The sequence below is a fragment of the Homo sapiens genome, chromosome 22 (assembly GCF_000001405.40).
Source record: "Homo sapiens chromosome 22, GRCh38.p14 Primary Assembly".
In the NCBI taxonomy this organism is placed as follows: Eukaryota; Metazoa; Chordata; class Mammalia; order Primates; family Hominidae; genus Homo; species Homo sapiens.
The window spans coordinates 26,807,848-26,832,567 of NC_000022.11; the positions used below are offsets into that span (position 1 = coordinate 26,807,848).

Here is a 24,720-nt window from a genome sequence, read left to right on the forward strand (position 1 = left end):
TCTGTGGGGGAGAAATTATCATTCCCATTTTCTTGATGGGGAAACAGATTCTGAGATAAGAAGCCACTGATGGTGGAGCTAAGATCTGAACATTGAAAAGACCACATTCTTCTCAACCACCAGATTCTCTGAGCCACCTTCAATTACAATAGCAGGTACCATTTATTAAACACCTACTATATGCCAAGTGCTTTGAATAAATTATCTTTTATCCAAAGACAACCTTTGGTACTGACATGCCCATTTTACAGATGGGAAAGCTGAGGCTCAGGAGCTGAATACATTGTCTAAGATCTCATAAGGAATAAGTAAGTGACAGACTCAAGACTGGAACACACGGCCAGGAGTGGTGGCTCATGCCTGTCATCCCAGCACTTTGGGAGGGCTGAGGCAGGAGGATTGCTTTAGCCCAGGAGTTTAAGACTAGCATGGACAAGATAGTGAGACCTAGGTCTCTATCTTGAAAATAAAAATTAAAAAAAGTTTAAAAAAGATTAGAATGCAGATCTCTCTAACCCCATGCCAACATGCCTTTGTATTTGAGGTTCCCTTTGCCCGAACTGTCCTGGTCTCTCTTTGTCTCTGTCGCTTTCTGGAACCAGACTATATATTCATGACAATAATAAGTGTTCAGTAAATTATAATGAATAATAGATACCATGTTTATAAACTGAGGTGGTTCCATCCCCATTTTAAGGATGGGGAAACGGAATCACCAAGAAGTGAGGTCTCTTGCCCAGGTCACAGAGCCAGAAGTGGTTCTGCAGCACAGAAATAGCCCTTGAACTCTGCTCTGCAATGCTGAGCTATTAAGATGGAGGTAAGTTGCTGTGTGTTGTGTAAGGACTTGGCTCTCTCTAGCTTCCCTTGCTCCTCCTTTTGGCCTGCCTACTCCCCATCTGATTAATTGATACCTTTCTGCACTGAGGTATCTGCCTCCAACTGGCTGTCCTGTCTCCCACGCCTTTCCCTCTTCCATGAAAGCCTGCTTCTTCCATGTCCCATTGCTTGTGGTCTTGCTGGGGGCAGGAGCTTATCTGACAAGGTAATGTGAGCCACCTTGGGGTGCAGGGCTGAGGATGGCATCTCTTATGAACTTCTCTCCTGACCCCCATGGAGCTAAACTGGGTGGATGTTCCCCTCCAGCTCCCTGAGCCTTGGTTCCCTCATCTGCAAGATGGGGAGAAACGTAGCTACTCAGAGGGTTGCTGTTAGTGTCAAATGTGCATGCAACTGTTTTTAGTACAGTGTCTGGCAAAGAGTAAGTGCTCAATAAATGTAAGCTATTGTTATTGTCAGTCAGGCCCTACAATATTTTTTTCACTTGGAGGAAAATAAAAAAAGCTAAAAATTATGGAAGCCAGCCGGCTGAAGTTCCTGAGCCATCATTCTGCAGCCTGAGAAATTATCTAAACTCCGTCACCGATTCAGGGATGCAGAGAGGAGGCAGAGACTCTAGAGAGGAATGGTGCCAATGTTCTGTTCAACACCCTTTTATTTTTTACAAGCTGAAGGTTCAAAGCTGCCCAGGGGTGCTGTCCTAGCCACACGGCCCATTACTGAGGGGCTGAGGCCATTCTTGTCAGTTTCCTCTTTCTCTCATGCCCCCTTGGGCTGTAGTTGGGGCTCTGTGTGGTGTCCCAGGGAATAGCAGCAGAGCTCTCCCTGAGTCGAGAGAGAGCCAGAGAAAACTGCCAAAGCAATTCTCAGCAAAATCCCTAGGGATGTGTGTCAAGGACAAAATAGTGTGTCCCATGGGTAAATACAGTTAACACAGCTGCAAAACAGAATTTATTTCTTGTTTGAGATATCATTTTTAAAGTATGGCATAGGGAGAGCTTTAAATATGAAATTATAGCTGGCAATAAAAGAACCTCATAGGCACTGTATTCAAATTATGCTGTAGTAATAGGCCAAGTTCATAAATAAACATTGCTTGTTAACCCTTTGCTGAGCGCCGTGGGCCAGGTGGCTGGGACAAGGTTGGGACAAGGTTGGGACAGGGCTGGGAGAGGCAGAAATGGCATGACCTTCCAAGTGTCCTTCGGGCTGCCCCCTCCAACTTTCTCCACCCAGCCTCTTCATTCTGGTGTTAAAGATCAACAGATTATTCTCTGATAAAATGAGAGGCCTGGACTATCTACTGGCTTTGCAGAAATGTACCACCCAGACCTCTGAGCTGGGAGTATTTTAGGATCTGAATTAAATAGGTCCATCCTAAAGCTCCCTGCATTTCTGACCTCCTCTTATTGTAATATTGTATATTATTATATTATATATTAATGTTATTGTGCTATATATACTTATTATAATACATAATAACGTTTTATAGGATATAGACTCATTTGCTGTCTCTTGCTGTCTCTCTTTTGCATGACACTTCAGCACAGTGCTTCTCAACCAGGAATCCTTCTGCTCTCAGTGAACACTCAGCAGTGTCTGGAGATAATTTTGGTCGTTGAAACTGAGAGGTGCTACTGGAATCTAGTGGGTGGAGGCCAGAGATGCTGCTCAATATCCCACAATGCATGGGACAGTACCCTCCTCCACAAAGAATGATTTGGTCTTAAATGTCTGCAAAAGAACTGTTGCCTGAGACAGCCAGCTTTCCCCTACTAGCTGTGCAGAGTCCGTCCTCCTCACTGGGAGCTGGGCTGTCTGCCTTGCACTGCTGAATTTCTGTCCCTCAGCCTGGCACTTGGCACACAGTAGGTCTTCCCTAGGGGTTTGCTCAAAGATTTAATGAATTCATGGAACCTCTCCCCTTCCTGCTTCTTCACCTGACCAGCTCGGACCCTTCCTTTCGTTTTCAGCTTGGAGATTGCTTTCCCAGGAAGCATCCCCTGAGCCCCCTACTCTGGCGTTAAGTCCTCCTTCCCCCATTAGGCATTTCCATGATCCTCCTTGCTCTTCATGCTTGGATTGACTGGTTCATTGTTCACATCTCAGGTGAAATGTCACCTCTTCAAAGCAGCCATCATGACTGCCTAGCCAATGTGGCCTTCCTTGGCTCAACTCTCTCATCCTCCTATTTGGTTTCCATTGCAGCATTTATCAGTAGCTAAAATCATCTTGTTTATTATGGGCTGGGTCTTGGCCTCCATGGGGCCCCCACTGCCCTCTGTGGTCCTTGGACGAGAGTGACTGCACATGAAACACTCCCTGCATGAGTCACGGAGGGACAGAGAACAGGGAAGGCCCTCCTGCCCCCGCCACCCTCTCTCCTTCCTTTACATGTCCTGTTTGGTATCTGGAATCCTCAGGAGTCAACTTCCTTGGGATGTGAGAGATCACTGATCTCCCTCTCAGCTCTTAGTAACTTGCTGGGAGATGCTGACAAGTCACTTGCATGTCGATTGCAAAATGAAGGGGCTGGGACATCTGTGCTTCGTAACTCTCTCTCTCTCTCTCTCTCTCTCATTCTCTCTCTCTCTCTCTCTCCGTGTGTGTGTGTGTGTGTGTGTGTGTGTGTGTGTGTGTGTGTGGCATCACCTCCTAGGATCTTTCCTAAGAGACAAAGCCTGACCAACCCCAGGCCTGCAGAACCAGGTTCTCTAGGGAAGTGTGTGCCCTGGTTTGTGCTGATTACATTACTTGGTTGTAAAAACTCCCTTGGTAATCCAGATCCATGGCTTGGTTAAGAGCCAGAAAACCAGAGGATATCTAGGGCCCTTTCCAGCCCCAGCATTTGACATCTCTGTGATTTTAAGATGCCTGCCCTGGGCCGTTTATCTGAGTGACTCTCTTCCTGGGCTCCCCTGGCACTATTGCTAATTTAATAGCATTTAATTTAATTTTAAAATGATTTGTTAAAAAAGGCTTGTTGCCGTAGAAGCCCCAATGACCTCATTCCTCTTCTACCCTAAGGCTGGAAATACATCTTGTGGCTGAAGCCAGGCTTCTGGCCTCCAATGTCCCTTAGAGGTCCCACAGCTTTTTGTGAAAAATGCTGAGTTTGCTGTCCACCCATTGGGCGTAATTACCTTTCTTCTCTCCAGATCCCCCACGTGTTCCGATCCCAGGAGGAAAGAAAGGGCTGGAAAACCAGACCAAGTTAGAGAGCAACTCAGGAGCTGTTATCTCAGACAAAAGGAACAGCATAACTCAACACACTCACACACACACATATACACACACATGTGCATGCATGCACACACACATACACACATGGGCACACACAACTCATTCTTCCCCATTCTTTAGGAATAAGTGGCTATACCTGGTGCCTACATTTAGCGCTGGGCCCTCTCCTGGACATTTGAACCTATAGGAATACCCCATGGGTTTCTTTGCTCTTTTAAATTATTTTCTGTTCTGTAGTTGTTTTAACCCCATTTCACATGTGACCAATTGTCGTAAGTCATCTTCCATTCATTTATTCATGTGCCAATTAATTAATTAATTAAAATCTTCCTTGCATCCACCATGTGGCTAATAGGAGGACAGACATAGTAGTGAGCTGCATAGGCTTGACCTCTTTGTCAAGAAGCAGAGAGCCCCGCCTAGGAGGAGAGACAGATAAAATGAGGAGGCCCTTTTGGGTAAATATAGGAAGAATATATGGAGCATAGAGGATGGGCAGGTAATCCCAGGTGTCTTGGGGGAAAGTAGTTCCAAAAGAATAATATGTCATCTGTCAGGATGGTAGCCTTCAGCAAAAAGTCAGCATGGATGTAACACAATGGTGAAAGCTCAGATTCATCTGCAGTTGGAGTGGTGAAGAGAGCAAACTCTAGTCAAATGAGGGGATTTGATATGCTTCACTCCCACTCCTGGCCCACAAACCCTTCTGTAGATGAATCTCCATGTTCCTTCCCTTCCACTAATTTAGTTCAAATCAGCCAGGTGAGCTCGGACACTCCAAGCTGAGAATGGAGGAGCCGCAATATGGTAGGAACTTGGGTCTCTACTACTTCTTGAAGGACAGTCACCCTAGAGAGTTGCCTGACCAGAAATGTCTGCATTGGACTTTTCATGAGCTAGAAATAGACATCTACCATAGTTGAGTCATTGATATTTTGAGGTTTGTTTGTTACATCAGCTGATATAACCTTAACTCATGGGCCCAAAGTCTCTTGCTGCTTGTGTCTACAAATTAAGTTTTATTAGGACAGCCTATGACTGTTTTCATGTTGTAACAGCAGAGTTGAGTAGTTGCAACAGAGACTGTATGATGTGCAAAGCCTAAAATATTTATGATCTGGCTCTTTGCAGAAAGCATCTATGGACCCCTGCTTTAACTAATACAACCAGCATTTGACAACACCAGAACCAGTCTAGGTTCTTCTCCTGGTTTCCAATACTGGTTTCTTTGAGCAGATCAGCGCCTCATGCTGACTTCTTGCTCTGACTTGGTTATGGTGTACTCTGCCCCTTTGGCCCCATTCCTTGGGCCCAAATAGTCTTTGTAAATTAGGCCCAGAGACTTAAATAAAGTGGCAATCATTCTTCAGCCTCCCCAGTTGTGAGCTCTGATCTTCCAAATCATCTAGTCTAAGTCCTCAACTGTTCAGATATGGAAACTGACACACACAGAGAGAGGAGTAGATTTTGCCAGGCTCACTGAACCAGCCAGTGGTTGAGCAGTCCCACAAAGAAAGTGTGGGGGCAAATAAACTGCTTCCTGGATAAAAACAGCTAATGTTTATTGTATGCTTGCTTCGGGCTAGGTACCCCTTCAGTCTTTCCAACAAACCTCAAAGGTGTATACTGCTGTTATCATCATCATCCCTCTCATTTTACAGATGGAGAAACCGGGGCACGGAGAGAATTTAAGTTGCCCAAGGTCTGCTGTGTTGATGAAACTAGATTGAGCACAGCAGTATTGATATAGTTTGTATACTTGTCCCTGCTCAAATCTCATGTTGAATTGTAAATCCCCAATGCTGGAGATGGGAACTGGTGGGAGGTGTTGGGGTCATGGTGCAGATTCCTCATGGCTTGATGCTGTCTTTGTGATAATGAGTGAGTTCTCACAAGACCTGGTCACTTAAAAGTGTGTAGCATCTCCCCCTCATTCTCTCTCTTGCTCTGGCCATGTGACATGCTTACTCTCCCTTCACCTTCTGCCATTATTGTAAGCTTCCTGAGGCTTCCTCCACTGAGCAGATGCCAGCACCATGCTTCCTGCACAGCCTGTGGAACTGTGAGCCAATTAAGCCTCTTTATAAATTACACAGTCTCAGTCATTTCTTTATAGCAATGCAAGAACAGCCTAACCCAAGAATCAGTTCAGAACCACATTCTTGTTGACTCCACAGTGCCATATTGGTCTGTCATTCTTGTCCACTTTGGGCTTTAAAACTCCCCCCTTATCAGCAATGATAGAAAGAAGAGACTTAGGTGTATAGGGTAGTCTTCTTTTAGCCCCTTCTCTTGTGCCCCATTTCCCTATGATCCTCCAAGCCCAGAACAATTCATCAATTTTGTTTGCATATCCAACTTGAGACACTGTCATTTCATTAACTCAAGTGAGGGGCTCTTCATACAAGGTTGAGCTTCAATAATTCTCTTTAAAGTTCCAGAGAAATGTATGCTTAATTATATTTGCATATGAAAAATAGGGTCTAATTAGTTTGATTGATTATTATTTTAACCCTAATGGCATTTTGAGTATCTGTCCCAACTAATAGCAACTGTATCGCTAATAAATCATTGAATTTTTACGACATGGTCTATTGAGCTGGCTTATGAAATATATTTTATTAATATCCCAGAATGTATTGAAACTGATACAAGTCAAACAACTGCTCATTTATTAAACTGTTTAAATGTCAGTTTTATACAAGAGTATTAATACAGGAAATATGTTCATTCAGGAGACATCAGTAGGCCACGGATACTCAAAATATTAGTTATCTTGGAAAAATATATTGTGGAAATAAAAATCCAATTATATCATTTACTGCATTAAATAAATCTATATTGACTAACATAGATGTTGCACGTTAGCAGATGCACTTTCTTGGAAACTTTTTAATTCTCTGGGATTGAGCTCAAGGCTACAGTGGAAATACAAAGCTTGAGTTTCCAGGGCAGTCTTCAGCGGGCAGGGGAGTCCTCAGAAACCTGGTGCTCCATTTTCCTCATTGAGGCTGAGGCTGTCCTCCTCACCAGAGGTCTTCAGGATGTTCGTTCTTAAGATTTTCTCTTCTGGGACGTATCCAACATCTGGAGTTCAGGTCACAGCTGTTCCAGGAGCATGAGTGCCATCCTTCATTTGTTCGCCAGATGACTACACAGCACGGGCTCATGCTGCATGTCCAGTGTTGCGCCTCGAGGACACTGCGGTGCACCAGACAGGCAGGAACCCTGCTCTCATGGAGGTGATATGCTAGTGGTGGGGACAATGGGTAAAAGACTGGTGAGGCCATTTCTAATAGGAATCCGCACTATGAAGGGAATCAAGCAAGCTTTGGGGGTGGAGAATGCCATGGACAGGTATCCTTTAGATGGGAAAGGCAGGAAGGATGGCAATAAGGAGACAGCCAGGTAAGAGGGCTACGGGCACTGACTTCTAGGCAGAGGGAACAACATGTGCAAAGGCTCTCAGGTTAAAGCAAGTTTGGCTTGTTCACAGACAAGAGTGAAAGCTAGTGGGGCAGGAGGTGTGTGACGGGTGAGGGAGGTGGGCACTAGATCATGAAGGGCTTTGCAGACCAAGAAAGAAGGTTGGGTTTAATTTTAGATGAGATAGGAAGCCACTGGAGAGTTGGACTCAGGAGAGGACGATGGTCCAATTTCTATTTTGCCAAGGTCACTAGGGTGCTGGGAGGAGAATGCATTGAAGGGTCTGGGTTGGCCATGGAGAAACAGGGAGGAGGCAGGTGCAGTCATTAAAGGTGCAAAAAAGTGGAGGAAGAGAAGTCTATGCTTCAGGATGTTGTGGAGGTCAAGTTGACATGATATGCTGATAGACTGAATGTTGGGAGACAGAGAGAAAGCAGCCATGGATGCTCCCAGTCTTTGGTCTGAGCATCTGGGTGGGGTGTAGGAGGTTTCAGTCAGAAAAAAGCTGGAGGAAATGGTCCAGAGTTTGAGCACTGCCATCTTGCTGTGCAGCCTTCGATGGTTCTTATAACCTCTCTGATCCTTGGCTTTTTCACCTATAGTGGGCTGTAATAATGAAGCTATCTTCACAGGATGTGCTGAGCATGAAATGAGAGTCTCATGTGAGGTGCTTACCACAGTGCCTGGCACACGTAAGTCCTAAATACACATTAGCTATAATATTAATACAAATACTATGGATATCCAATGGTGACCTTGGAGATGACCCAGAGGAGTGACAAGAACATAAACTTGGGAATCAAACAGATCTGGGTTTAAATCCCATTTCTTGGCTGTGGGAACCTGGGCAGGTGTTCTCCTTCTCCGAGCTTGCATCATCTGTAAAATGGGAGGACCGAAGTTATGACACCCACAGGTAGTGTTGGTTTTTGAATTCGAATAGAATATGCATCAAGTTTCAGGCTCAGCGCCTGGCTCACCTCAGGTACTGGGAATTATTAGAATTATCACCCAGTTCCCATTCACTTACCCAAATCCCAGGCAATTGCAATTCCTACAGAGCCAGCATGAGCTGCCAGGGGCCTCCCAAGTGGGTGGCCGTGGAGGGGGTTGTGAGCCTGGGATCTCCTCCTGGGGCCCTGCTAACTCGCTGTGTGACCTTGGGTGAGCCCCTTACCCTCTCTGGCACCTGTTGCCTCTTGTGTGTAATAAGGAGGTTGGTCTGGTTAATCTCTAAGGTCTTTTTCAGAGCCTTAAAAAAATCAATGATTGTAAAAGTCTATGATTAGTGAGAAACCATCTGCCTCAGGCAAAGACCAGACCCTCCCCAAACTTTTGGCGGGGGGAGTGGGGGGTGGAATAAAACAATAAGCAGACGGCTTAGCAAATTGCCATCTTATAGGCCTTAAAAATGCATATCTGCTTTTGTATCAGCCTTGATTGAAATTCTTATGCTATGGCGGCTGTCCCCGCCATCAATGCCTTAATTAGAAATTAGGACAGTCACATTGGCATAAATTAAATCAGACTAAAGATGATTAACAAAGTAATGCAAGAAATCATTAAATTAAACCATTGTGCCAAGTCCTCTGCTGATCTATCACAAATTTGGGCTGCTAATGAGGTCTTAATTAGTAAGTTAGGTCGAAATAATTCATGTCATTCACTTCAAAGACAGCCCTCTTTCTTTCTTTTTTTTCCCTCTTTTTGAATCCAGCCCCCAATGCAAATTTATCATGGGGTGGGTGGACACTGTCAATAAATAGCAGCATTCCTTGGATTATCAAAACCTGCTTGGCATTGAATGTATTTGTTGGGAGGTCCATGCTGATGTCAGTTTAAGCTGAAGGGGAAGAAAGAGCTTGTTATCCTAAGGTGATAGAACTGTGGAAAGAGAGGAAACAGGTCTGAAGTTCATACTCTCAGGATACAGATGGGAAAACTGAGGGCCTCCGAAAGGAAGTGTCAGAGACTGAGTTTAGGGCAGAGTTGGGGCCCGGGTATCCCAAGTAAGAATCCATTCTTCTTTCTAATTTTTATATTTTCCCTTTGTTCAGAAAAAGCAAAGTATTTAGTGAAGTAGATATCATGTTTTCCATATCAATGAAGAGGAAGCTGAGCTCAGAGAGGTGAATTGACTTGCCCAAGGTCACACAGCCAGGAAGAGCCAGAGCTGGAATCAGACTCTGATTCCTGAGTCTGAATGCTTAACTGCTGTGCTTTCTTGCCTCAACAAATAACCACCGAATGGCTGGGTGGTGGGATGGGTGGACCCATGGGCATATGCTAGGAAATCGTTGGAAAACAGACTGTGGAAGGGCAAGCCAGCCCCAGATATGAACATGCTGACTTAGGATGATTGTAGAGCAGGATGTGGCTCTTGGAAGACTCATGACTTTGGAGTCAGGCAGACCTGGAGTCAGGCACCTGGTTCTGCAAACTCCTAGCCATGTGGTCTTAAGCCAATTGCTTAAGACCCTCTCTGAGCCTCAGTTTTTCTCACCTGTAGTATGGGTGCAATTAATCTCTTCTTGTGAGGAATTTGTGAGTGTTCAATGAGATCATGTGAGAAATGTGCCATGTATTACAGTTGGTGTTTAATAAATGTTACCTTCCCTCAGCTTCTCAGTGGTCCTCTGGTGATTCAGTTAGTTTTTGCTGTTTAACAAACCACATGAGACTCCTCCATGGCTTAAACCAAGAACAACTTCTTTCACTTGGGAATCTGTGGTCTGGCAAGTTGAGCTGGGCTCAGCTGGGAGGTTCTTCTGCTGGTCCTGGCTGGGTTCACACAAGAGGTGGCCATCAGCTGCTGGTCAGCGTGTGTGGTTCCACCCTTGGGGTTGGCTGGCTGTTGGCTGTGGTTGCAGAAGTGAATAAGCCGCATGTCTCCCATTATCCAGTAGGCTAGCATGGGCTTGCACTCTTTGTGATGGAAGGGTTCCGGGCCCGGCAAAAGAGGGCAAGTTCCTTGGCAAAGCTCCTCTTGAGCTTCTTCCTCTGTCACATTGGCTGAAGTCTCATGGATTGTCATAGCCTGAATAATGCACTCCCATCCCCTACTCTGTAGATGTCCATGTCCTAATCCTTGGAACCTGTAAATATGTCACCTTTTATGGCAAAAGAGACTTTGAAGATGTGTTTAAGAATCTTAAAATGGGGAGACTATCTTGAATTATGGTGGGCCCATTGATATTATAACAAGTGTCTTTATAAGAAGCAGGCAGAGGGATACTACAGAAGAGGAGAAGGTGATATGATGATGGAAGCAGAGACTAGAACCATGGGCTTTGAAGATGAAAAAAGAGGCCACAAGCCAAGGAATACAGGCAGCTCCTACAAGCTGAAAAAGGCAAGGAAACAGATTCTACCCCAGAACCTCCAGAAGGAGAAGTCTGATGACACCTTGACTCTAGCCCTTAGACTCATTTTGAACTTCTGAGCTTCGGAAATAAGAACACATTTGTGTTGTTTTCAGCCACTAAGTTTGTAGCCATTTGTTACAGCAGCCATGGGAAACATTGGCCAAAGCAAGTCACTGGCCAAGCCCACATTCAAGGGGCAAGGAAACAAGACTCCACCCTTCCTGTAAAAAATCTTTTAGCTTTTATTTTAGATACAGGGAGCACATGTGCAAGTTTGTTCCATAGGTATATTGCACCCAGGGAGCGAGCATGGTACCCAATAGGTAGTTTTTCAGTTCTTTCCCCTTCACTCCCTCCCCTCAGTAGTCCCTAGTGTTTATTGTTGTCATCTTTAGTCCATGAGTACTTGATGTTTAGCTTAGAATAACGGCCTCCAGCTGCATCCATGTTGCTGCAAAGGACATGATTTCATTCTCTTTATGGCTGCGTAGTATTCCTGGTGTATATGTGCCACATTTTCTTTATCCATTCCACTGTCGACAGGCAGTTGGGTTGATTTGATGCCTTGCTATTATGAACAGCATGGTAATGAGCATACAAATGCATGTGTCTTTTCAGTATGATGATCTATTTTCCTTTGGGTAGACACCCAATAATGGGAGTGCTGAGAACCTACCTTTTGAGGAAAGGAGTCACCAAGTCACATTGCAAAGAGGAGTGCATATAGGTTGGAAAGAATTTTTGGTCATATTTTGTAGTCTATCACATCTGAGACACTTCACCCCAGTAATTTTAAAAATAATAGTAATAATAATAATGATAATAATATATGCATATTTAGTGAGCACCTACTAGGAGCCAGGCAGTGCTAAACACATAGCACACCTTATTTATTTATTTATTGTTGTGGTAAAATATATGCAAGACAAAATGTACCATTTTAACCATTTTTAGGCATACAGTTCAACGGCATTAGGGGCATTCACAATGTCATGCAAACATCACCACTATCCATTTCCAGAATATTGAATCATCGCAGACAGAAACTCTGTCCCTTTTAAAATGATAAGTCCATAGCCTCTGGTACCCTCTACTCCAGGGGTCCCCAACCCCCAGGCCAAGGATGGCTACTGGTTGGTGGCCTGTGAGGAACTGGATTGCACAGCAGGAGGGGAGCGGCAGGTGAGTGAGCATTACTGCCTGAACTTTGCCTCCTGTTAGATCAGTGGTGGCATTAGATTCTCATAGAAGCACCAGCCCTATTGTGAACTGCTCATGTGAGGGAACTAGGTTGTGCATTCCTTATGAGAATCTAATGCCTGATGATCTGAGGTGCAACAGTTTCATCCTGAAAGCTTTCTGCCCCACCCCCCGCCCCCCACCAGTCACTGGTGCCAAAAAGGTTGGGGATCATTGCCCTATTCCACTTTCTGTCTCTGTGAATTTGCCTATCCTAGGTACCTCCTATAGGTAGAGTCATCAATATCTGTGCTTTGGTGTCCAGCATCTTCCCCTTAGCACTATGTCTTCAACATTTATTCATCTTGTAGTAGGTTTCAGAGTTTAATCCTCACAGCAATCCCCCAAGGCAACAGAGGCTCAGAGAAGTACCAAGGTTGACTGGTCCAGGGCCACACAGCTGGTAAGAGGGGTGGGGTGGCCTGAACTCCGATCTCCTGGACTCTGAGGAGTGGGAGTGTGCTGGTCACTTTTCACTTCTCCATCCTGCTGCCCAGGGCACATGCTGGGCCTCCCTGGTCTCACTACCCATAGCCAAACCACGGCTCGATAAGGCAACCCCCCCACAACAAAGCCATCCATTTATTTCCCACTCTGGGCTCCCCCCCCAGCCAGGGCCAAAACAATCACTTTTTCATCGATTCTGCTTCAATTAATTAAAAAATCCATCCAACTACTCCACAGCTTGATAGACTTTGAGGATTCAGACGGAAATAAATAAATTAGTCCTGGAACAATGAGGGTGGAAGAGAAATGGCTGGGGATAGGGGGAGTGGGAGATGGGGGTGCTCAGATCCTGGGTCCAGCTCTGTGCTGCTATTCGCAGAACTTATAGGAGGACTGGGGGCCCCCATAGACTTTCCGTCAGGGAGCAGGGGCCCCAGACTTGGTGGTTGTATTATTAGTAGTATTTTAAATAATAGCTGTTTTTACTGGGCATTACTTGGTGATGGGCTTTTATGCAAATTTTCTCATCAATCCCTCATGGCAGCTCTCTGAGTCAGATGAGGAAACAAGCTCAGAGGAGCTGGGTTACTTGTCAGAGCCTACGCAGCTAGAATGCATCAGGGGAAAATTCTGTTTCTTAGTCCTTCGTGCCCCTCTTTTGGGGTGCATTTTTTCATTTGTCCAGTGAAGGGCTATGAGGGAAAAGGGCATGGGGCAGGGTTCTGTGGCTGGCAGGGAGTCTAGGTCACTGTCTCTAAGAGGGGAGCGCTTGGGTGTAGAACCCCTGGGAAGTTATTTAGAGCTATAAGAGATCTTACCCGATCATTTGCTTTGATGGCTTTCAAACTAGTTTTAATTTGCAAAATCTAATGTTGAAGTGAGATCCTATGTAGGTTTGCCACGTAAGGGAAAAACAAAAAGGAACAAATAAACACACGAAGATGCTTGGTTGAATAGCATCAATATTAGCAACAATAATAACTGGCCTTAAGGTGCTGGAGCTGACTACCGGTCCTTTGTTAAATATTCAGGAGTTTTGTAAGCAAGTTATGCTATTGGGTTGAAATAAGTTATAGCGGAAGTACTTACACCACAGAAATGGGCTAGTGCTACAAATCAGTACTCCTCCCCACTCCTGAGAGCCGTTTTACTAGCATACCACTGACAATAACCATTTAATGAACATTTGCTGAGTGTCAGATACTGTGTTGAGTGCTTTATTAAAAAATACCATTTGGCTGGGAGCAGTGGCTCATGCCTGTAATCCCAGCACTCTGGGAGGCCGAGGTGGGCAGATCACCTGAAGTCAGGAGTTTGAGACCAGCCTGACCAACATGGTGAAACCCTGTCTCTATTAAAAAATACAAAAAATTAGCCAGGTGTGGTGGCGGGTGCTTGTAATCCCAGCTACTTGGGAGGCTGAGGCAGGAGAATCACTTGGACGCAGGAGATGGAGGCTGCAGTGAGCTGAGATAGTGCCATCGCACTCCAGCCTGGGTGACACGGCAAGACTCCATCCCCGCCTCCCCCACCCACACACAAAAAAAAACCCCAAAACCGTTTACATTTAAACCACATTGTAAGGAAGATACTATTAATATACCCATCTCTCAGATAGGAACACTGAGGCTTGGGGAGGTGTATGTAGCCACTTACACAAAGTTAACAACTGGCAAATGTTAGTGCTTACCTCATTCAAATCCCTGACTCTATCTCAAGTACCATGAAGTGTTTTTTAAATATTACTGAATCCCAGAGAGAAGAATCAGAGGGACAGACTTTCTCAGGATTGCACAGGGCACACAGCAAGTTGGGTGAAGGGCTGGGACCAGGACCCCACAACTTGTTCTAGGTTAGGAGGAAACAGGTGCAGATGTTTTCAGTGGGAAACTAGAGATAAAGAGTAATTGGGGCTCTGTCACAATATCCCTACTCCCTGGAAGGTCCATCCTGGGGGTACGACAACCCTTTTGCCTCCTATTTGAAAGTGTAGGAGAGTCTGTCTACTAGACAGTCTCAAACCTCCATCCTGCCTGGGAACATTCAGTGGCCTCATCTCCATGGCAGGATGGACAGCAGGTGTCCTCAGCTCTCAGGGATGCAAAGATAGCAACCACCTTGTATGGTTCTATTCAATTAAATGCCTGGCTTCTCACCAGCCAGAGAAGGCAACCCTGAAAACCAAGCTACGATGGGGAAGGGAAAGTTCTCCCAGCAGGGTGTCCTCACCTGTCCAGAGCCCTGCAGCCTGCAGAAAAACAGGAGTGGAAACCAGGGAGGGAAGGGCAGGGCTAGGTTTGTCTCTCGCCCCTCTCCTGCTGCTTCCTTATTTCTGTAGCTTTATGATAAAGGGGTGAACACCGGGCAGGAGACACAGGGAGTCCTCAAAAGCTGGGGGTCCAGTCAGGGTGCACACACAGGGTTGGGAAGAACCTTGATTCATATTTTGCAATTGACCATATCTGAGAATGCCTCCTCTCGCTCCAGGAACCAGGCTGAGAGGCTGCAGCCACAGTTCTAGGGATTTATCTAAGATCCTCCCTGAGGCTTGTGTCCCCTGGAGATCCCAGGGATCCCAGCTAGAAGAGCTTGAATGCCTCAGCCAGGGAATCCCTTCTGAGCCTCCAGCTGGGGCAGGAGTTGTCCCAGGACACAGCAGGTAACTGGCCATGAAAGAGAAAAGAGGCTCATATATATCGAATATGTGCTATATGATGCAAACATAATGATCTGGCTCTCATCATGTCTTCTCAAAGAATGATCTCCATTTTACAGATAAGGAAAACTAAGGCTCAGAAAGGGCAAGCATCTTATACTAGTTCACACAGCCAAAAAGTGGCTGAACTCAGAATCCAAGCTCCTAAATGTAGATTTTTTTTTTCAGTTTTCTAGAGCAGTGCTGTCCAACACAAATGTAATACAAGCCACATATGTAATTTAAGCTTTTCTATTTTTGTTGTTAATTCTTTTGTTAATTAAATTTTCTATTTAATATTCACTATTTGGGTGATGGGTACACTAAAAGTCCAGATGTCACCGCTATCTATGCAATATATGTATGTAAGAAATCGGAACTTGTACTCCCTATATATACAAAAATTAAAAAAAAAATTCAAGCAGCTTCATTAAAAAAGTTTGACAAGTAACAAGTGAAATGAATGTTAATATTTAATTTAACCAATACATCAAAATTATCATTTCATTATGTAATCAATAGAAACGGTGATGAATGAGATGTTTCACTTTTTTTCATTCTAAAGATTTTACACTTGAACTTACAGCGCAGCTCCATTCAGATGAGCTACCTTTCAAGCGCTCAGTAGCTTACTGTAGCTTGCAGCTACTGTATTGGACAGTGCAGCTCTAGAAGTGGGGACATATGCTCAGAAGGTAAAGCAAAAGAGCATTCTCACATTCTCTCTTGCTCACTTTCTCCTTTTCTTCTTTATGATACCTTATACCTGTGTTGCTAGCTAAGATGTAATATTATAATAGCTCATTGCTCCTTACGTGTCAGAAGCACCTCTGGGCTGTGGTGCAGGACCTGTCTCATTAAGAATCATACCAGCCCTTGGAAGGAAATATTACTACCCCTGTTTTGCAGTGGAGAAAACTGAGGCTCAGAGACGGGAAATACTGCCTCGAATCATACTGCATGCAACATGTCATAGCCAGTATATAATCCCGGGGCCCCTGATGCCACGTTGCAATTCTTAACTGCTAAGCCTGGTCAGTGGTTAACTTTTGTCCTTAATCCTGTCTCTTCCCATTCACTCTCCTGAGCTCAAAGCCACAGGAAGAGGCTGCCTGGAGTCTTTCAACCATGCCTGTTGAAAGTAGATGGCCAGGCCTGGTGTGGTGGCTCACGCCTGTAATCCCAACGCTTTGGAAGGCTGAGGTGGGTGGATCACTGAGGTCAGGAGTTCTAGACCAGTCTGGCCAACTTAGCAAAACCATGTCTCTACTAAATATACAAAAAAAAAAAAAAAAATTAGACAGGCATGGTGGTGGGTGCCTGTAATCCCAGATACTTGGGAGGCTGAGACAGGAGAACTGCTTGAACCTGGGAAGCAGAGGCTGCAGTGAGCCAAGATCGTGCCATTGCACTCCAGCCTGGGTGACAAGAGTGAAATTCCATCGCAAGGAAAAAATAAAAAAGAAAGTAGATGGCCACTGGTATGTTGTTTTAGGAGAAATGTCTGTTTCAGGTCCTTGTGATTGGGTTGTCTTTTTTTGCTACTGAGTTGCATGAATTTGTTATTTATTTTGGATATTAACCCCTTATCTGGAGACCTATTTTACAGCAAAGTGCCTATAGACAGGTACTAGCTAGATACTACAGCATAGTGCCTATAGCTAATAATATTGTATTGTACACTTAAAATTTGCTCAGAGGGTAGATCTTACACTAAATGCTCTTAATAATATAAATGACACAGGAGAAAATTTTGGGAGATAGTGGATATACCTAAGGCCTTGATGGTGGTGATGGCTTCACTGGTGTATACTTATTCCCGGACTAATGTAGTTGTAGCCTTAAATAGGTATAGGTTTCTTTCTTTTTTCTCTTTCTTTCTTTCTTTCTTTCTTTCTTTCTTTCTTTCTTTCTTTCTTTCTTTCTTTCTTCTCTTTTTTTTTTCTTTCAGATGGAGTTGCTGTGTCACCAGGCTGGAGTGCAGTGGTGCGATCTCGGCTCACTGCAACCTCCGCCTCCCAGGTCCAAGTGATTTTCCTGCCTTAGCCTCCCGAGTAGCTGGGATTACAAGCATGTGCCACCACACCCAGTTAATTTTTGTATTTTTAGTAGAGATGGGATTTCACCATGTTGGCCAGGATGGTCTCCATCTCCTGACCTTGGGATCCACCCACCTCGGCCTCCCAAAGTGCTGGGATTGTAGGCGTGAGCCACCGTGCCAGGCCAGGTGCAGGTTTTTAGGTGTCAGTCATGTCTCAATGAAGTGATTTTAAAAATAAATAAAACTTAACAATTTTTAAAGAAATAAAAAAACACATATATAAATAAATACATTAAATATGCCAAAAAAAAAAAAGAAGTGAATGGGCCTGCTGTGGCTCCCCGACGTGGCTGTGGTCCCCAAGGGTCCGTGGCGCTGTAAATGCTGAGATTCATAGGTCTGTGCCATGTTCCTCCAGCTCCGGATGCAACTTGGGAATTGGTGTGTTCTGGAGTCACAAGACCAGGAACACATCCCGGCCTTTGCACTTCTGGGCTGTGTGGCCTTGAGCAAGTCACCTCACCTCTCTGGACCACAGTCTCCTTGTGTCTGACAATGGTCTCTAGACTCCCCTTGTTATGGGATGGATGCTACCAAGCAGCAGCTTGTTTTTCCTTCACCCTATTTTGTGGATGGGAAAGCTGAGGCCCAGAGAGGCCAGGAGGCTTAGCTGGGGTCCCCAGGGAAGGAGTGACAGAGTTAGGACAGAATTGAGGCCTCCCAGGCACAACCATCTTATTTCCACAAGACTCCCCAGCCCTGGACATCTTGGAAGAAAGACGCATGCACCTTGCCTGACGCCCAGACTGCCATTGGTCAAACATTCCCTGACTCTTCCCAGCCTCAGCTCCTCGACTGAGCCCTGAGTCTGACAACCCACAATTCCTGCTCATATTAGGTGAGATGGGCCACCTGTCCAAAAAAGATTTATCTGGGGCTTGGAACAAGTGAGAGAATGAGGCAGACCCAGAGAGCTGCTCAGAGACGCCACAAGTCTATTTTCCTCCAATGGGGCCATTGAGGGGTTGGACCACCTGCGAGGCCTTGTTTCAGTTTGTCTGTTTTTAATCCTTCTCCTGAAAACAAGCGGTTTCAAGTGAGAAGTGTGATTTTCTGTGCACTCCATCAAAGGTGCTTATTGAGCACTGAGATGTCACAGAGTTTTTGGTTCATCCAATGGGCATCTTCTGAAAGTCTACAATAAATTTATCCATTCATTCACTCGTTCATTTAGTCATCCAACAAGCATTTATAACGACCTCTGGGCAAAAGGCCAGGCACCATGCTAAGCTGTGAGGATTCAGAGATAAAAACTTGGGCTCCCATCTTTAAGGTTCACTGTCTATACGACAAACATGCTGCTACGGGTCAATTGGTACTGTGCTAGTTGACCAGATATGTGTACAATGAACTATGTCAATGAAGGAGTGAAGGGAAAGCTTCCCAGCTGAAGGGCTGTTTGACTTGGGCTCTGAGGGTTGAGTAGGAGTTCATTAGGCAGAGATGAGTGTTGTAGGTAGTGGGATTAGCATGAATGATGTAGAAGAGAAATTACGTATATAGAGGTGAAGTGTTATTTGACTAACACGTGGAATATCTGAAAGTATAAATCTGTGTGTGTGTGTGGGTGGGAGGTAGGGGTCATAGTGGGATGGAAAGCTAACAAGGTGGAATGAGACAAATTAACAAGATCCTTGAATGCCACACCCTGGACAGTAAATTTTACTCAGCTGGCACAGGAGAATGCAGCAGAGATTTTTATCTAAGGAAAAATGGGATCCATGCATTTTTAAAAGGGCTGGATGCAGCAGGAATTTTGCCCCCTTCAGGGTCTTATAGGGAATTGAGTGGATAAGATAGATTGTACTTCTTTCCCCAGAAAGTACAGCTAGCTGGGACTCTTGAGCGCTGAGGCTCAGTTTAAGTCCTGCCACTTCCAGGTAGCCTTCTGTGATCACTCCTTCTCCGGATGTTTGGCTGGTGAGAGCACTGGGGCGTCATCTGCACATGGATTTGAACTCTAGACCCATGTTAAACAAGCTCTGCTCTCTTAAGAAGGCATCTCATCCCTAGGACTCTCACGTTCCTCTTCTCAGAAAGGAACCTGATAATGACTAGAATATTATCCTGGCAGGACCGTTCTGAAAATCAAATGAGATCATGGATGGGGAGGTGCCTGGTGCTGGGTCTCACTCCCTGGCAAGTGGGGCCAGGAAGTGAGTCTGCAGAGTCTTTCCCTGATCACTCAAATTGGATGCTCTGAAAGTTTCTGTCCTATTCCCCCTCCCTCTCAGAGATACTCGCTCTGACACTAACAGTTTTATTTCTGGAATGGAGGATCAGGGACAAAGCGGACCCTCTTAGTTCCAGGAGTGCCCATAAATTATGGGAAGATGAGAATATTTTAATACAAACCAAAGAATCTCACGTACAAAGAGCTGCTCTGAGAACGTGTTTTCTTCCCCCTTACTCCCCCTTCCAATTCCCCTGATATTTGGAGCTAAGAAGACTCCTTGGGGAATTTATAACAAGTAGAATATTTAAGGGTAAGGAGCCAGAGGTCTCTTTGGCGTTCACTTTTCAGGGAAGTCACCTCAGAGTGGTATGTACATGAGTGACATAAAAGGAAGGTTGTGCATAGAGAAGGGGAGAATATGCCAAGAATTGTCAATTATGCAAAAAAAAAAATTGCTTGTCCAAAAGAGTGATGTGTCTGGCTTTATTCCCCAGATAGAATTCAGCATTCTGGGCAAGGCCTTTGCCAGACTGTGAGATTTTCTGGAAGCGCCTGTGGCGTGGCTCCTCTGCCTCACCTGTGATGACAGGTCACTGGGTCAGCTGGGGGTCACTTTCCACGTGCTCCATCAGAGACAGCCTTAGGATTTGTGCTTTGACCTATCTCACAGAGATCCTGCTATTCTGATTCCTTTGGTTGGGTGACAGTTTCCAGGAGGGACCTGGATTGGCGACGTGCTATGCCCAGTGCTATGCATGGGAGAAAGATCTCTTCAATGAAGGCATTAGTTATGTATTGGCACAGTTAATGCTGCATAACAAACAGTAATGTAAGCTCAAGAGTATATAACAATATATTTTTTTCTTTGGCTCATAGGTCAGCTGGTTGGTTTTACTGATCTGAGCCAGGCTTGCCTAATCCCAGCTGGGCCTGCTCATGCAAGCTGGTGGGTTGGCTAGAGCTGACTGGTCTAGGATGGCCTCACTTGCATGTTCTATGGTTGACTAGCTGTTGGCAGGGGCGATGGAGGTGACTAGACCCCAGGTCTTGTGTCCCCCAGCAGGCTAGCCTGGGCTTTGCATGGGAGCTTGGAGGGTTCTACAAGAGAAAGTGAAAGCTTGTTAAGACCTAGGTGCAGAACTGGCCTGACGTCACTTCTGCCACATTCTATTGCCCAAGGCAAATCATATGGGCAGCTCAGATTCTAGAGGCGATGAAAAGTCTCCATCCTCCAATGGGCAGAGCTTCAAAGTTACATTGCAATGGGCATGGGGATAGGGAAGGGCAGATCCTTGGGGCTTATTTTTTTCAATCTGTCTACTGAAATGGATAAACAGAAGTAGTTAGTTTCACTGACAAGTATTACTAGCACCTCTGTGTTGAGTCTTATGCTAGGTGCTGGCAGAGGTGGTGAATATGAGACAGTCCCATTCTGAGGGTAAGACACAGACATAGAAATGGATGATTGTGATCCACTGTCAGTGCTGTAATTGGGGAAGCTCAGGCAGCGGTGGGAGACCAGAGGAGGCTCACACACTCCCTGGAGGTCAGGGAAGGCTTCCTGGAGGAGGTCGCTCCTGATCTGAGTCTTGACATTTGAGTGGGAGCTCACAGGGTGAGGGAGGTGGCAAGAGGGGTGACGGGAGGAGGAGAAATCAGTCCAAGAAGAGGAAGCAGTGAGTGCACAAAGGCATGCACGTGAGAGGGACCTGTTAGAGAGAGAGGCCAGGGCATAGAGCAAGGGACAAGGCCTGGCCTAGCTTAGGTCACAATGTCCCTTGGAATTAGGAGACTGTTGGCTTGAGATATCCACCACACCCAGAGCAGGGTTTTGAGGGGTGTTCTGATAAAGGGGTGAGGGAAATGTTGAGCAGAGCCTTATTAATAACAACGAAACCCCTCCAGTCGCCCACCTCCCCCAAACACGAAACATCAGCTGCCAGCCAAGTCTGCTGCGAGCTGGGGTCTCAAGGCAGATATAATCCCTGCTCCCAAAAACCTTACCAGGTCTCAGAGACATGCGTCAGCTCCTCAGCTTTCCAGGGTCTGCAGGAAAAGTGAGGAGCAGCTCTTGATGGCCACTAACCCGTAGCCCCACCACAACCCACCCTGCAGATCCCATCACTCTGCAGATCCCATCATCCTGCTTCCTTTCCTTCCCTGGGATTAGATACACCTGAAATTGTTGTTCTCTCTGTTCACTTTGTCCCCAGCCGACTCCCCCAGGCACCTCCTGAGATGTTGGGCTCCATCAAAGTGGCCACCATGTCTTTTTGTCCTTCATCTCGGTTTCTTTAGTACCCGAGTCAGCACCTGGGCATGATGGGTGCCGAAACTGTCTTGGCAGAGTAAAGGACAGGCCAGCTCCCTGCAAGATGCTGAGCAAGCCATGTGCTCTTTCTGAGCCTCAGTTTGCACATCTGTAATTCGGGGATGTTGTACAGCAGCCAATTCTGCCACTATTTTCTGAGATCCTGCTTGCAGCTGGACCCTGGCTTAATATACTGGAGAGAATTTCCAGGAGAGATTCTGACCCACGGATTTTCTTGCCTGTGGACAATTGTCAGAATTCTCCACCTTCTAGGGTGCGAGGATGGATTATGGAGAAATGGACATAAAGCAGGTGGCAGGAAACTTACAAAGGGGAGGCATTTCTGTCTGACTTCACATTTCCCATCAGCGGGGCCTTTTTTTTTTTTTTTTTTTTTTTTTTTTTGACAGAGTCTCGCTCTGTCACCCAGGCTGGAGTGCAGTGGTGCAATCTCGGCTCACTGTAACCTCCACCTCCTGAGTTCAAGCGATTCTCCTGCTTCAGCCTCCCAAGAAGCTGGGACTACAGGCGTGTGACACCATGCTTGGCTAATTTCAAAACTTTCTGCATCCTGAGGGGCATGCCCAAGTTTACCTGTGCTCACAGAGGAAGGAGGTGTACAAACCCACATGGGAGTTATTTTCCAGTGTGATTGACACTCCACACCCATCTAAGTGCGGCTGGCATGGAAGTGGTGGCCCCGCAGGCAGGACCCATCCTTATCTTTGCCTGGGAGCTTTTTAAAAGGTTACCAGACACCCACTTCCACTTCCCCCCCTTAAGCTCTGTTTCTGAGTCTCTTTTATTTGAATCCAGGGAAACTAGCTGAATGTAAAGCCATCAAAACCAAAGTGACCCGAGATGTCCGATTGGCCCATATTGGCCAGAAAATGAGTATTTCCCAGCTTCCAGGAGGGTCTGTTTGCCCCAACATCCTGAAACCTCAACCCCCTCCTTCCCCAGGAAAAGGAAGGAGCAGCTGGCTCAAATTGCTCCCCCAAATTCCTGGCCTGGCAGTGGTTAAAATGTGATCCCTTTTATTCGAGTAATAGAGAGGAAGTTCCCGGGCCTTCAAGAAGCATCAATCCAGAGATTTATTAACCAATTTAAAATACTATTGTCTTTCACTTCAGAGCAAGATTGAGGGGTGTTGTTGCAGGAATGTAAAGTCAGAGTGACTGAGCCTCAGAGCCAGGAGGGGTCTGTACCTGGGACTCAATAGATATTCATGAACATTCCCGTATTTAGTGAAGGAAATAACTTAATACCGACAGTGCGATGGAATAATAGCTATTTCCTGGCTGACTTGCAGGCCTCAGAAAATGAGATTGCAGTGGCTTCATTTTTCTTGTCTTTTCCTGTGCTCCCTGCCAGAGAAGGAGCTGCCACTGGGATTCTCTCTGCATTTGCAATGAGCTGGGGCCTGCAGCCCCCACCCAGGCCTGGTGACTCCCTTATCACCCCTTCTATTTGCTGTGACCTTGGCCTCGGCTTCATGGAGAGGTCACCCTGCACCCTGTTTAGCTGTACAGATGACCAGGAAAGTAGATCAACCTTTATTCAGATGGAGGGGCAGGCAGACTGGTTTATTTGAGGATGATTTTGACATTCATCCACTCATTCATTCACTCAGTATTCACTGAGGGTCTACCTATCACACTCTGAATGCTGAGGACACAAACATGAATACTGTCCAGTCCTTCTCTCTTGCAACTTGGTCCACTGAAAGAGCCACACACTAAAGCATTTCAGGGACCCCTAGAGGTGTCCACACAAGGCTTAGAAAGCCTCAGAAAAAAACGAGATCGTGATACTTAGAAAGACAGAAGATCAGGAATGACATCAGCAGGGACATGCCTCTTAAAAGTTGCCAAGGTCTGATTCATCAAAAGACCACCTGCCAAGCACTTTACCCGCTTTGTTTCATTTGGATCTCATAGAAGCTTCATGATGTGCACTTTGTCGTTCTCCCCATTTTATAGGTGATGAGATGAGGCTCATCCAGATGCATTGGCTTCCCCAAGGTTAACCGGCCAGAAAGCGGCAGGGTCAGGATTTGAGCCCGTGTTTGTTGGATTCTGATTCCGGGCTCTGGAGGGCCTCAGTGTCCTGCTGGTCTTTGCCCAGGTGGTAGGTGTAGGGAGGGTATTTCAGGCAGTGGGCACAGCCTGGGTAAAGGCACAGAGATGTGGAATGGTCGACCTGATGCTTTGGGGGACTCTAAGTGGTCACTTATGGGTTGATGGCAAGATGGGAGTGGGTGCTGGGGCACAGCTGAGTGGAAACCAGGGTAGAGAGAGGTGTAGAGGGGCGTCCTGAGGAGTTTGGACCTGAACTGGTAGACAAAAGGGGGAACTAATGAATGATTTTAGCTTGGAGACAGGGGAGGCTCTATGCACGATATAATCTGGCCCTCCAGACTGATCTCCATCCTTCACCATCCAGCCCTGAGCCCAGGAAACTGATATGCGTGGACCAGGTCAACAGATTCTCTCTGGCTCTGGCTGGGTTCCGCCAATGAGGATCCCCAGCAGGAGATCAAAGGAGAGGGAGAGGAAGGGCAGGGGTTCATCCTCTGGTTTCCTGGGCTGGCTGTGGCCTTTGACTGAAGGTCATCAAAGTGATCTAACCCCACTCTCCCTCCTTCTAGGTTATGGTAGCCTCCCTCTCCCCTCATTCAGGCCTAAGCCGGGGAAGTAGCTCAGCTGCTTCCAGCCAAGGTTATCTCCATTCCACCCACACCTTTGGAATGAGTCCCTTTGTAAATAAACTCTCCTCCATTGACCTTAACTTGAGAGTGCCACCCATTTCCCTCCGACCCACATAGCTCCTTTGGGCCATCTTACGTGCAAGTCAGAAATCTCAAGATCAAGGTGT

At 45.9% G+C, this 24,720-nt stretch overlaps 1 annotated feature.

Moving 5' to 3' along the window:
- Positions 18,232-18,281: an enhancer, noted in NCBI's record as "active region_18800". NCBI's record gives its function as "activates an Ori minimal core promoter by ATAC-STARR-seq in GM12878 lymphoblastoid cells {active_cell/tissue: GM12878}" and the evidence as "EXISTENCE:reporter gene assay evidence [ECO:0000049][PMID:35858748]".